The sequence below is a fragment of the Homo sapiens genome, chromosome 15, assembly GCF_000001405.40.
Source record: "Homo sapiens chromosome 15, GRCh38.p14 Primary Assembly".
NCBI lineage: Eukaryota > Metazoa > Chordata > Mammalia > Primates > Hominidae > Homo > Homo sapiens.
Genome location: NC_000015.10, coordinates 85,671,446 through 85,685,727, shown reverse-complemented (window position 1 = coordinate 85,685,727; position 14,282 = coordinate 85,671,446). Strand labels below are relative to the sequence as shown.

General features: G+C 39.8%; 1 protein-coding gene across 3 annotated transcripts in view, besides 1 other annotated feature; it reads right to left on the bottom strand.

The window, feature by feature from the left end:
• Positions 1 to 14,282, bottom strand: part of AKAP13 (A-kinase anchoring protein 13) — a 368,756-nt gene that overhangs the window by 63,631 nt on the left and 290,843 nt on the right. For all 3 annotated transcript variants that reach the window (NM_007200.5, NM_006738.6, NM_001270546.1), the window contains 2 exons: positions 3,516 to 3,570; positions 855 to 987 (listed from right to left, as the gene is read on the bottom strand). In NM_007200.5, the coding sequence (NP_009131.2) occupies positions 855 to 987; positions 3,516 to 3,570 (188 nt within the window). The remainder of the gene's footprint in view (positions 1 to 854; positions 988 to 3,515; positions 3,571 to 14,282) is intronic.
• Positions 8,246 to 8,415: an enhancer, noted in NCBI's record as "experimental_42317 CRE fragment used in MPRA reporter constructs". NCBI's record gives its function as "activates a minimal promoter by MPRAs in K562 erythroleukemia cells, with activity observed for the introgressed 15:86220629 variant allele {active_cell/tissue: K562}" and the evidence as "EXISTENCE:reporter gene assay evidence [ECO:0000049][PMID:34662402]".

Below are 14,282 nucleotides of genomic sequence, written 5' to 3'. Positions count from 1 at the left end.
TTGAGGTAAGGCATTAGACCGGCCTAGACACAACAGCAAGACTTCATCTTTACAAACAAATTTAAACATAGCTCAGCACGATGGCACAACATGACTGTAGCCCTGGCTACTCGGGAGGCTACGGTGCGAGGCAGGAAACTGCTTAAGCCTGGCAGTTCAAGACTGCAGTGAGCTATGGTCACGCCACTGTGCTCCAGCCTGGGTGATACAGTGGAGCCTTACACACACACACACACAGACACACACACACACACACACACACACACGGTTTAAACATTTATTTAATCTCTTAATCACTAAGAGAATATATTCCAAATGCTCCTAATTAGAAATAGATCTAAGAAATCATATTAGTCTTAAAAGTTCTTGTAATCTTCTGTGGGATAATCCTTCCCTCTAAAGCCAAATATAAATATTTTCAATCCTTTGATCTTTGCATAAAATCCTTCTGTTGCATTTAAACTGATATTACAGATTTAAGCACTGTGGTTTAAGAGTATGGGATTTGAAACCAAAGAGATCTGGTTTGAACTACTTCTTCACATTAGAGGAGTATCCTCGGTAAGGTACATCACTTTTAGAAAAGAGAGATAACACCTACCTGACAGGGTTGTTGAAAGGGTTAAATAATATATGGAAAGCACTTAGCATATAGTGAAAACTCAGTAACTGGTAGTTCCACTTCTTGCTATTTTTCTTCTTATTATTTTCCTTTAAATATTAGGCGATTTCGGAGAGTAATCCTGAATTTATTTCCATTTATGTCCCCATGATTTAACCAGTTTTGGTGTGAATGCAGGCTGTGACAGGATCCTACTGAGGTGATCACAAGCAATGCCCACAGTGATACTCACTTTGCTCTTCTTGCTGCTAGACATTTTATTCTTGATGTAGCTGAATGTACGACTGACTTTTGTTCCACTCTTCCATTCAGAATCTTTCTTGGAGGGGCTATGTGGCAGGAAATTATAGTTCTCTTCTGTTATACTAAATAAAAACAAGAAGATTGATTTTTTTTAAAGGGCTACAGAAGTTAAATAAAAGTGAAGCAGAATAAAAGGTAGATGAAGGCTGCTGAATGGCTTTTTATAGAGTATGCCACAACGCCCAGGTTCTGTTATCAAAACTTGGCTAAGTTTCCTTAGATCCGTCACTAATGTTTTCTTGTTCACTTGTCTGTTTTGGAGACAGTCTTGCTCTGAGTGGTGTGATGATAGCTCACTGCAGCCTTGAACTCCTGAGCTCACGCAATCTTCCTGCCTCAGCCTCTAGAGTAAGCTGGGACTAAAGGCACATGCCACCACGCCTGGCTATTTTTCAAATTTTTTTGTAGAGATGGGGTCTTGCTATGTTGCCCAGGCTGATTTTGAACTCCTGGCTTCACACAATCCTCCCACCTCAGCCTCCCAAAGTGCTTGGATTACAGGCGTGAGCTACCGCCTGGCCCATTTTTAATGTTTTAATTATGGATTTTCAGTGACCTCATGTTAAAAAGAGCCTGTCAATTATTCAGTAATTATTTTATATGGAATCTATTCATCTACAATAGCATTCAATCTACAAACTCCTTTGTAACAAATGGGTGCTTGAAAGGAAACCCATATATGTAGCAGAATGACAGGGTACTTGTTAATAGGAGTTGCAAACCAAGGAATCTTATGACTGACCACATATCCAAGTTCCTTAACGGTAGAGATCACAACTTTTTTCTAGCCTTTGGCACACGGGACAATCAGGACTGTGGACTGGTCCATGCAGCTAGGTTCAATTTTAGGAGGGAACTTACTGAGGAGCAGACAGAATTGAGGCACAGTGTTGAAAGATCAATTTTAGGAGTTTTATGTAGATTCAGTGATCTACCTGTTCAAGAAACCTACATAAAATCTAAGTCCATCCAAGATGGGCATGTTCTAACTTAGGTAATTTGCAATGGTTGATTTTCTTAAATGCTGGGCATTTGGGGCAGGTGCGGTGCTCACACCTGTAATCCCAGCACTTTGGGAGGCCGAGGTGGGCGGATCACGAGGTCAGGAGTTCAAGACCAGCCTCGCCAACATGGTGAAACCCCGTCTCTACTAAAAAATACAAAAATTAGCCAGGTGTGGTGGCACGCGCCTGTAGTCCCAGCTACCCGGGAAGCTGAGGCAGGAAAATCGCTTGAACCCGGGAGGTGGAGGGTGCAGTGAGCCGAGATTGTTTGTGCCAGTGCACTCCAGCCTGGGTGACACAGTGGGACTCTGTCTCAAAACAAACAAACAAACAAAAGAGCAGCTGGGCATTCAAATAAACAATCCGTTATATAGAAAAGGCATCCATTTATACTACTTTGCTTAGGTGTTCTAAAATATTTTAGACATTTCCCACAGAACAGCAGTGATTGCCTCTAGGGCCTCTGTGAGAGGGCAGGTGGCAGGCAGAAGCAGCACCACAAGGGGTCCTGTCAACAGTCAGTTTATTTATATATGCATTGTTTACAAAATACAGCAGTCTGTTTTTAAGATAAGGGGGAAATGGTATGAAAACCACTGCTGTAGAAAGGAGAAAGAATAAGCTATAAAAGCAGTGCAAAGAGAAGCATTCATTGCAAGGGTTCTAAATCAGAATCATAACTGATGCCTCTGTGAAAAAGAAGGCAACTCAGAAAAAACTGCAGGGCAGCCATAGGAACCCCAATTAAACTTCAAGTAGAATATTCTATCTCATAAGCATGAAAACCTAAATAAAAATAATGAGTCAGAACAGAAATCTTTTGCTTGCTGTCAAGTAAAGAATCAATTTCACGCCTGTAATCCCAGCACTTTGGGAAGCTGAGGCAGATGGATCACCTGAGGTCGGGAGTTTGAGACCTGCCTGACCAACATGGAGAAACCCCATCCCTACTAAAAATACAAAATTAGCTGGGCATGGTGGCGCATGCCTGTCATCCCAGCCACTCAGGAGGCTGAGGCAGGAGAATGGCTTGAACCTGGGAGGCAGAGGTTGCAGTGAGCCAAGATCGCGCCATTGCACTCCAGCCTGGGCAACAAGAGCGAAACTCTGTCTCAAAAGAAAAAAAAAAGAATCAATTCGTTTACTTCGACAGAGCTATGTATCATTTACATGTATACAGAAGAAAACAGCTTTAAAGCTTAAAATAGCTAAGACTATTATAAATTGCACACACACACAGACACTAATATGAAACAAAATGTTGTTTAGACTGTTAGATTTAGGAATTAAAAATCCCATAAGCAAAGGGTGCACAAGTTCATAAAGTCAAATAATAGTGTACCCTCACATCAATAAATACAACCAATTTTTATCATGAGGACAGTATAATTAATAAAACTACTGAAGACATTAACTTTAAGGTATAGCCTTCATGACAAAACCACTTTTAATCATTATTCCAAGTTTATCACTCAAAGAAGAACCCAATAAGCTCAATTAACTTAGTTTACGTAATTAAATGGCCTAAGAGATTTTAAATTTTCTTCATTTTATTTCTGGAAAAAGGAGTAACAAATTTATAGTACCTCTCAGTCAGATTAGCACTGGTATTGTGGAAGGTACTGTGGAAGGGCCGTGAATCTAGAAAACAAGGCAGAAAAAAAGTTAGAACCAAAAAATTTAACACTGATGCCGGGTAGAATATTTATAAATTCACAATGACACAGCTAAAGCAAAAACAGCGTGTGAAAGTCAGCACATGGTACCTCCTCCTTCTAAAGGTTTGAAAGAAGGAAAAATTAAACTTGAAACCCTCAAATTAGAACCAGAAGTAGGTAGTGAATTTCTCATGAAGAAAATAAGTTTAATCCAGGATTCAAGTAACTAAAAAGACTCCAAATAACTTTTTCTAATGCTTAAACACATATGAAGCATGTTTAATTCCAGTTCTTATCAATCTTCAGTTTGCACAAACCATCCTTCTGAGATGACATCATAGGAAGAATATAGAATAGGAAATTAAATGTCATATTTTATCCGTTAATACTGCTTTTATATGTTTCTATAAGATCTAGCTCATCTCTAATATTTTCATGAGAATTGCTAGAAATAGATTAGCAAACAGGAAAGAGCATCAGAGCTGGCTTATCAAGTCTTCGCCCTGTCACTAATTTGGGATGAGACCTTTGGATTTCATTTCCTCATCTGTGAAATGAGGGAGATAAAACAGATGGCAAAGTCCTTTCCAGGCTAATAGAGATAAAAATGAATGAGGCAGATGCGTACTTCTTCCTTCCACAACCACTGGACCATAAACTGCCGCAGGTCATTAAAATTCTAAGACTATGTCAGATAGGGCAATATGAAGAAAAAATAGAAGGAATATTATTATTTTTATCTACCACATGTTAATAAAGATTGAGTTACTGAAGACTTAGATGAGAGCAAGACCTCAGTCACAGTGATAAATGATTTTCAATTTTCAGGACATCAGTTATAGAACTATTTCCATGTATATTCCAGGGAAACAAAGGTTACTCTGTAACACTATTTTAACGATTTAGACAAAACACCTTCCTTTTTCCTTGAGGTTGGTTTCAAGGATCTCTGAGATTACTGTAAGCAAAACTTTAATCTGATAGAGATTTGAAGATGTTCTACTACCAGACTACCAGCATTTGGGCCAGGCGCGGTGGCTCATGCCTGTAATCCCAACACTTTGGGAGGCAGAGGCAGGCAGATCACTTGAGGTCAGGAGTTTAAGACCAGGCTGACCAACATGGTGAAACCCCTTCTCTACTAAAAATACACAAATTGGCCAGGCGTGGTGGCGCATGCCTGTAGTCCCAGCTACTCGGGAGGCTGAGGCAGGAGAATTGCTTGAACCCAGGAGGTCGAGGTTGCAGTGAGCCGAGATTGCGCCACTGCACTCCAGCCTGGGTAACAGAGCGAGATTCCATCTCAAAAACAAAAACAAACAAAAAAACTCCCAGATTACCCGCATTTGAAACTCTTCAACTCTCAAACTGTTCCAGATTCTGAACAGAAATCCAAAACTGTAGTTATTATTTTTATCTATTATTGTTACAAATTTTTTTTAGAAACAGGGACTCGCCATGTTGCCCAGGCTGGTCTTGAACCCCTGGGCTCAGGCAATCCTCCTGTCTCCGCTTCCCAAAGTGCTGGGATTACAGGGGTGAGCCATTGCACCTGGCTAAATTTAAATTGCCAACAGGTAGGAATAATACATAAGAAACCTTAAAACAAATTCTAAGTCTTCAAAAGATTGCCTTCCGTATTTTTTTCCTTTTTCCCAGTTTAGGGTTCTTCTTCTGTTCATTTCACTTACAACACATGGTAACAACAGCCAGGTAAGAGGGAAAGATTAGCAGCATAAGAATATCTGGGATCCATCCCCAGGTTCTGCATAATCTAGGTGTAAAATATCAGCATTTTAATCTTATGATGCATTAGTGTACTTAAAAAAAAAATCAAGAGGATAGTTTAAATCAGTGGTTTTAAAACCTTTTCTGCCCAAGGAAACTTCAGTGATAGGAGCAGCATTAAATTTTCTAAGCTTGCCTGGATTCTACTATACATTTAAGCAATTACCTAGTAAGTTACCACCCTAGTAATATGAACTAAATAAAAATAAAATTCATAATGCAGAAAAATACCAACCAACACAAAGCAGGGCCAATCATAAGCTTCCAGCAGATATGTGTGGAATAAATTAAAGACTGAACACATATGTGATTGAGTACTAGGAGAATCTATGACTCCTATAATATTTTCAACTTTTCCACTGCTAAAAATTTTAGTTAAGTTATGATGACCTTTTAGATGTGGTTCTGAACACAGTAATTAATCCACCAATGCCTCTGAAATTCCTAAAGTATCATCAAGTTTTCAGAGCACCTAAGGGTAGAAAACAACCAATGCTACTTCCATGACAAAATTATGGACAAAATAAATGAAACGAAACGAAACTTGTCATTAAAGTTAGCCTGCAAAGTATTATTGTGGGTAAATAATATATTTCAACTAGATTATCTTTCAAGGCATGAAATAACCTGCAGATTTATACTACAGCCAGGAACTTCAGGGTGGAACTACTGGATGGACACAGTTGATATTTTTCAGAGTGTGTTCCGTGGAACACCAGTTTCATGAAATGTTGTATACAGTGCTGCACATATTGTGGTTTTCTAGTTAATACATTTGGGAGAAACAGTATATTGAACACTGCCTTGAAAATCCACAACGTAACACAACGTTAGCATTTTAAACCTGCTTAACCCAGAGTTTCCTAAATTTACTAATATTTGGCCATGAACCAACCCCTCCCTTCTTTTGGTTCTCCCTGCCCACACATAATTCTTACTAGTAGTTTTGAATTTAAGGAACACATTTTGAGAAGATACTTGATTCAAAAAGTTTCTGCAAGCTTCCGTATTTTTAGGGTTCCATTGTGTCGGATTAACTGAATGACCAGTGCTGTTATAGGATCATAATTCTGTATTAGCAGGACCTTGGTTTTTTGTTGTTGTTTTTTTTTTGAGATGGAGTCTCACACTGTCGCCTGGGCTGGAGTGCAATGGCATGATCTTGGCCACTGCAACCTCCGCCTCCTGGGTTCAAGCAATTCTCCTACCTCAGCCTCCTGAATAGCTGGGATTACAGGAGCCCGCAACCACACCCGGCTAATTTTTTTGTATTTTTGGTAGAGATGGGGTTTCACTATGTTGGCCAGACTGGTCTTGAACTCCCGACCTCGTGATCCGCCCACCTCAGTCTCCCAAAAGTGCTGGGATTACAGGCATGAGCCACTGTGCCTGACTGGGACCTTGGTTTATTTGCCATGCTGACCTGGCTACTTCCCGGTATATTACAAATACTTTGATTTTTTTTTTTTAATTTTGTTTTTGAGATGAAGTGATCTCACTCTGTCACTCAGGCTAGAGTGTAGTGGCATGATCTCGGCTCACTGCAACATCTGCCTCCCAGGTTCAAGTGATTCTCCTGCCTCAGCCTCCCAAGTAACTGCGACTACAGGTGCCCATCACTATGCCCAGCTAATTTGTTTGTTTGTTTGTTTTAGTAGAGACATGGTTTCGTCATGTTGGCCAGGCTGGTCTCAAACTCCTGACCTCAAGTGATCCGCCCGCCTCGGCCTCCCAAAGTGCTGGGATTAGAGGTGTGAGCCACTGCACCCAGCCTATTACAAATACTCTGAAATGAAACAGCTTTGAAAATTTCTGAATACCCAAAGTTAGAGTGGATTTTCACAACCTTCCTTCTATTACAACTGGGATCATCTTATTCTGTGTCTATTTTTCAAACATCTTTTATTAGTGAAAAATATACCAAATCCTTAATAAGGCCACCATTTAAAACCAAATTAACTAAACTGTCTTATTGTGCATAAGGCACTTCCCTTTAAGAATAGTGTGAAAATGCCAGCTTGAGAAACACTTAATATTGCTGAAACTTAGAATCAGCAAGTGGTAGGGAATTAGGGTGCCTAATCATATGGGTATGGTAATTGTCTCAGACTCATAATACTAGTTATATAAAAACAATTTTATTTAACTTTCTATTATAAGTGGTTTCTCCATTAAAAGCAATCCTGGAATATTCTAGAAATCTTGCACAATTGAAGACTGTAATTTTCATGAAGGGGGAATTTCTTTCTTTTCCAAGTTTACTAAAATTGATACCTTGTAAAGTTTTTATACAAGGCATTATCAAGTAAGAATGTATTCATCTGAAGCCTACAGCTTATCCAAAGAAGTAAAAATAAAAGTTCAAAAGGAGAGAGAAAGTAGGAGATAAATACGTATATAACTCCGGCTGGGCGCTGTGGCTCATGCCTGTAATCCCAGTACTTTGGGAGGCCGAGGCAGGCGGATCATGAGGTCAAGAGATCGAGATCATGCTGGATAACATGGTGAAACCCCGTCTCTACTAAAAATACAAAAAAAATTAGCTGGGCGTGGTGGCGGACGCCTGTAGTCCCAGCTACCCAGGAGGCTACCCGGGAGGCTGAGGCAGAAGAATGGCGTGAACCTGGGAGGCAAGATCGCGCCACTGCACTCCAGCCTGGGCGACAGAGTGAGACTCCATCTCCATCTCAAAAAAAAAAAAAAAACACAACACACACTCACAAAACGTATATAACTCCCTCCCTCTAATTCATGGGGTCTAATCTTAAAGGAAAGGTATTTTTAAAGAAATGGTCTGAAAAGGAGAAGAAAAAAAGTGTAACAATAGCTTTTAAACACCACAGATGAACATCTAGATATCTGTCCCATGAGACAGAACAACACAACAAGGAAAATAAAATTTACATTGTCAAATAAAAAGTTTTGTGAAATTAGCATACAGTATTATTAGAAAGAGTACACAATGGGATGGGAACACACCCCCTACACCTTTGAGGGTATCTGTGTGCTAGAAAGATTATCTTGTGCCCTGGAATCAGGAGGCCAGTAGCTCAGCGTTAGTACTATACAGAAGACAAAAAAATGTTCTATCCAAACCAATTCTCAAAGGCAAGCATAAAGACAAATGACTTACAAAGGATGGCATGCAAGAGGCTAAAAGCCCCCATACAATTTCTTAGTACCAAGCCTACAGCATTTTCTGAGCTGGTCAGACCTTCAAGAACAGTCACTGGACACCAAAGTTGCTTACTTACTATGCAACTCCTCCTCCTCATCACTCGAATAAGAAGAGCCAAGAGAAAAGAGAGTTTTAGACTTAAGGAGGAGCGGAGAGATGCTGATGGAGATCCGCCTTGCTGGCCGCATCTGCTGCTGAGCTGAGAAGGAGGTTCACAGAAGACATTAGAGCATGCTCGGATTATGCCAGGGCCTTCAGCACATGGGGAAACAGCATAATGTCAATGGCCTATGCGGTTCCGGGAAATGCTGTCTAGGTGAATGATGTAATAATTTGTTTACATTCTCATCTCCATTTCTGAATATACAGAATTCTAATGCAGTTTCTAAAAAATTTGGCTAATAAATACATACCTGTTAGATTATGAAAATAAGAATGATCACAATTCATACCTGGGGTTCTCTTCCTTAAAAGTATACTAAAAACATCTAGTAGTGATGTTCCTCAGGATTTTATATCTGGCTCTCTTCTCCCTCACCCCAAATCTCCTAATTCACTCCACCTCTTAACAACGATCTGCATACAACACACTGGTGACTCACATCTTTCTAATCTGGAAGCCGGATCTCTGTTTAGATCTAGGCTCATTCCTCTCCCTGCTCACCTGTGGGTGGATGTTCCACAGGCAGCTAAAGCTCCAAAAGCAGGTAAGTGAACTTATCTTTTCCTGCAGACCTGTTCCTCCTCCTGTGTTCCTTCATTTAGTGAGTGGTACCAACATCTAACTCATTAATCAAAATGGAAACCTGGGCACCATTCCTGAATCCTTATATCACACTTCACTCAGGCTTCTTCACTTTGTCTTCCAGCTCAACCTCTATTCCTCCCCTATTGCCACTGCTCTCTGCCTTGGTTTAGGACATTGTCTACTACTGTAACTTGAATCCTGCAAAAGCCTTCTACTGGCTGGGCGTGGTGGCTCACGCCTGTAATCCCAGCACTTTGGGAGGCCGAGGTGGGCAAATCATGAGGTCAGGAGTTTGAGACTAGCCTGGCCAACACGGTGAAACCCCGTCTCCACTAAAAATACAAAAAATTAGCTGGGCATAGTGGTGGGCACCTGTAATCCCAGCTACTCAGGAGGCTGAGGCAGGAGAAGTGCTTGAACCCGGGAGGCAGAGGTTGCAGTGAGCCGAGATAGCGCCACTACATTCCAGCCCGGGCGATGGAGTGAGACTCCTTCTCAAAAAAAAAAAGCCTTCTACTGATCCAATCTCTCCTCCCAATACATTCTCACTATGGTCAGCCTGAAGTGTTCTAATCATTATTCGACCAACTTAATCAATGTAAATGATTCCAATTCCCTCAGGCAAGAGGCCCAAATTCCTCAGTCTTGCTTTCCACATACTAATTCACCCAGCTAATTCCCAGTTTCCTTCTGGTCCAAACTTTAATATTACTTTTCCTTAGTCAGCCTTCTGACCCCTTAGGTCTGTCAGTCCTATAACATCAGATGTTTAAGTTGCTGCATTTACCATTTTCTATTAGATTCACTTGCTCTCATCTGTAAATGTGGTGAGGAAAGGAACCCTACCTGTGAGTTCACCCCCCTCCTACCATGGTCTAGCCTGGTGTACGGAAAAGAGTAGGTACTCAAATATTTACTGGATAGACACATTAATAAATGAACTTCCCTTTATCAGACTTTCTGGAATCTCAATGTCCTAAATGAAATGAGAGAAAAAGCCCTGTACCTACCTATTATGAAAGCCACTCCATACCCCAGATAAATGCTAAGTGACATCACTATTTGCTGTTGCAGCTACTCCAAGTAACAGATCAAAGAAATGTTGGTACAAATACACACTAGTTTCTCAGGCAGAGTCTTGTGCAAAAGTAAGATACTACTGTAATGTGTGTTCTGATGTGCCTCCAAATGTCAAACAGATTTAGAAAATGAAAATAAGCTGCCCCTATTACTCAGAATCTAAGAACATCTCCTTCATGTGTCACAAAATCATGGATCATAAGGAAAAATCTTACGTGATGAGTGTCTAGAGTATCCCTGACATATGGAAATTTCCAACATATATATGATATAAAGGAAATGTTCTGGTAACAGAGCAATTCAATTTTACAAGGTAATTGAATTAAAGTTTATATTTATATATGCATTTAATGAACATGCATGTTTTCCAGTCTTACAATTTAATAAAAATGTCAAAAAGAAGTCTGATTACATTTTTGTTCTGATGTATTTGTCAATGTTATCTTTTCCAAACAGAACTGTGCTAAGAATATATATATATATTCACATATATTCATATATATATACACACACACACACACATACATATTTCAGTAAATTCCCATCATAGTTAGAGAAGAAATCCAGAAAACAGAGATAAAATATCCTCAATAGCACTGATGCCTAACTTTCCAGAGGCCCACCTTGATCTTTGGTCACACAGATCCTTTACCTTTTTAAAGATCTGGTACAGATATGTAACTGCCACAGTTCAGCTCTCAAGATGGCCTTAGCTGTCATAGTCTAATGCATGCCATACAACTACAAGCTACTACTCCCATCACAACATGCTTAAGAAACTTGGCAAACTCACATGCCATAAGCAAAGGTGTAAAAACAACCCCAAGGGAAAGTGCCCTTCTTTGTGATACACACAGAGTATTCCTTCTGAAATGCTTGGGGTCAGAAGTATTTCAGATTTTGAATTTTGGAATATTTGCATATATATGATGAGACATCTTGGGGAAGGGAACCACATCTGAACATGAAATTCATTTGTTTCATATACAGCTTATACACATAGCTCTAAGGTAATTTTATATAATATGTTACATAATTTTGTTAAGGCCTTATATGTGGAATTTTCCACTTGTGGCATCATGTTGGTGCTCGAACGTTTCAGATTTTGAGAAATTTCAGACTTTCAAATTAGGGATGCTCAACCTGTAACAAACCATGCAAAATGAAGGGGAAAATGAAATCTCATTAAGAAGCATATGAAGTTAAAACGTCTAACGGGTCCAATTCCCCTTTCAACATTATCACCACTAATGTGTTTCCAGGGATGCAATCAAGCAGATTCTCTATTATTTGAAGCATCTTCTGGGTGGGAGCAATGAAAAGGTTAAAAATACAGCCATAGAAAGGGATCATCTGGGTCGGGCACGGTGGCTCACGCCTGTAATCCCAGCACTTTGGGAGGCCGAGGTGGGCAGATCATGAGGTCAGGAGATCGAGACCATTCTGGCTAACATGGTAAAACCCCATCTCTACTAAAAACATGCAAAAAAAAAATTAGCCGGGTGTGGTGGCGGGCACCTGTAGTCCCAGCTACTCGGGAGGTTGAGGCAGGAGAATGGCATGAACCCGGGAGGCAGAGCTTGCAGTGAGCCAAGATCGTGCCACTGCACTCCAGCCTGGGCAACAACAGAGCAAGATTCTGTTCTGTCTCCCCAAAAAAAAAAAAAAAAAAAAAAAAAAGAAAGAAAGAAAGGGATCATCTGTAATAACTGAATTCTATACATGTGAAAATAAAATTTATTTTTAAGTTCTATCAAGAAACCATCTATGTTTCCCAGCACAGTGGGAGAAAAAGGCTCCACACAATCTTTCTCTGATGCAAGGAGGAGAAATGCTGTGAACACATTCCATGGAGAAGTTTCTCTCAGGGCAGTCCTCCCAGGCACCAAGCCTCATGACACAGCCAGCACCTGTGCTACTGCGACCCCCTAAAAAATTGCCGGCAAGTCACGCTCATCATATCCCACCCTTCGAATCAAGACAGGAAGTCCAAGACAGGAGACACTGCAGCTTTTCCCGTCCTCTGTGGTTCCTAAAGAAGCTACTGCTTGCCTACTCTCCACCCCAGAAAGTGATACAGAAATATTTTAGTCACCCTCTCTATTCAGTATTTTCCTTTACATCAGTAGATTTTTTAAAAAACAGATCCCAGCTTAGAAATAATGCTACAAGTTTGTCTGTTTTTCTAATCTAGCAAATGACCCAACAAAAGACATTCTGGACAACAGCTCAGTGGAAATACATTTCCAGAAATGCTCAAGTTTTACTGACAGCTGTGATAAACTGTGGTTGAGGAAACTAATAATTTCTTTAGAAGGAAAAAGAGCACAGGTAAAAGCTGGAAAGCAGTGAGATTAGGATGAGTTTAGAAAACATTCTGTTCCTAAACAAGCACACTCATAATAAACAGCCAAGTGCAAGACAACAAGGGACAATGTCCTAGCAATGGTGAGCAATGTTTAACCTTGCTTAAGCTCTGGGCAGAGAAAAATGGACCCTGGCACTGTTCTGGTTATTGTGAACAATCACACTCCACAATGACAGCATGTGCTCATTATATGACAGAAAATATGCTATGGACTTCAAATGAAGTCAGATTTAAGCCACATCACATTATCATCCCCATTTAACAGTTGAATTGATGCAGAGAGTTTCAGTAACAAGCTCAAAGTAATACAGCTACTAAGTGTGCTTAAAATATCAGTTAAAATATTTTGAGTGTACCAAACATTTTAGGCTTTAAAAATCACTGAGGATTTTATTTATGACACTATTTCAGTTAGGGAGACTATGACCATAGATGAATCATGCTGAGTATTTAAGTGACTTGGAATTGAACACTTGAGCCTGGAGCAAATTATGAAGTATCAGTTATCCCGATGCTTAAGGCATACCACACACACTTTAACACAAGTTTTAGTCTTCTCTTTAGTCAGAATTTTAACATTTCCAAAATGATGTATTATGTTTCTAGTGTAGAATAACAAATACAGGTGGGAAACTATTTTAATTGTATATAGGAGGAACTAAGGAGAAATAGTGACATTAAGGTTGATGGGTCCTTCTGTTGCAGCATATGCTATTAGGAAGGTACGTGGGGCTAGCTATCATTCCAGCCTGCATGAAACGTACACTACAAATCAGAATGAGGGTATTACATTTGGATGAAAGGAATAAACTCTTGCTTGAAGCTCCACTTTTGACAGCAGTCTACTACTGCAATCAGGTTCCCTAGGTGAGTTGAGCAGAAAAATTCTCAGCAACGGGAAGAAAAGCTCTATGTGTCAGAACCTCTAGAATAGCGCTTTGGGGAGTTAGCTGTATTATTTATAGTGTTTGGATAGCAACTGAAAACACAGTCAAAAAGCACCGTGTTTTGTGAAGGAAAAATAATGAAGTGTTTCATCCACAAGGAAAGAAAGCATGTCACAAAATATAGGAAAAAGGTCTCTCTATGGGACACATTCTGTTGGTACTAGTTATCTGTTGCTGTAGAAGTACAATATCCACTATGTCACGACACTTGCTGGTCACGGAAGGAGGGGACGCTGAGCTGAAATGTCTCACTTAGAGTGCCTTCCTGGCCTTCTCTGGCTACTGAGTGCTAGCATTCTGGCTTATCAAATTCACTGCAAACTATTCAATTGTACTTTCCATTCTATACAAGCCAAACATCTAACTCAAAGCCAAATTAAAAAAAAAAAAAAATCCAAACAAGCAAAAACAGGAAAAGCTATTTCTGTCACAGTTCTGGGGGACATATCTTTGAAAATAAGTCTCCGTTAGACACCTTTTGTCAAATACGCTAGATTTGTATTTGAAATATTAATCACATGAAAACAAGAAAAAAGTTAACAGAATCACCCATTATGTCTTTCTCTCTCTCTCTTTTTTTTTTTTT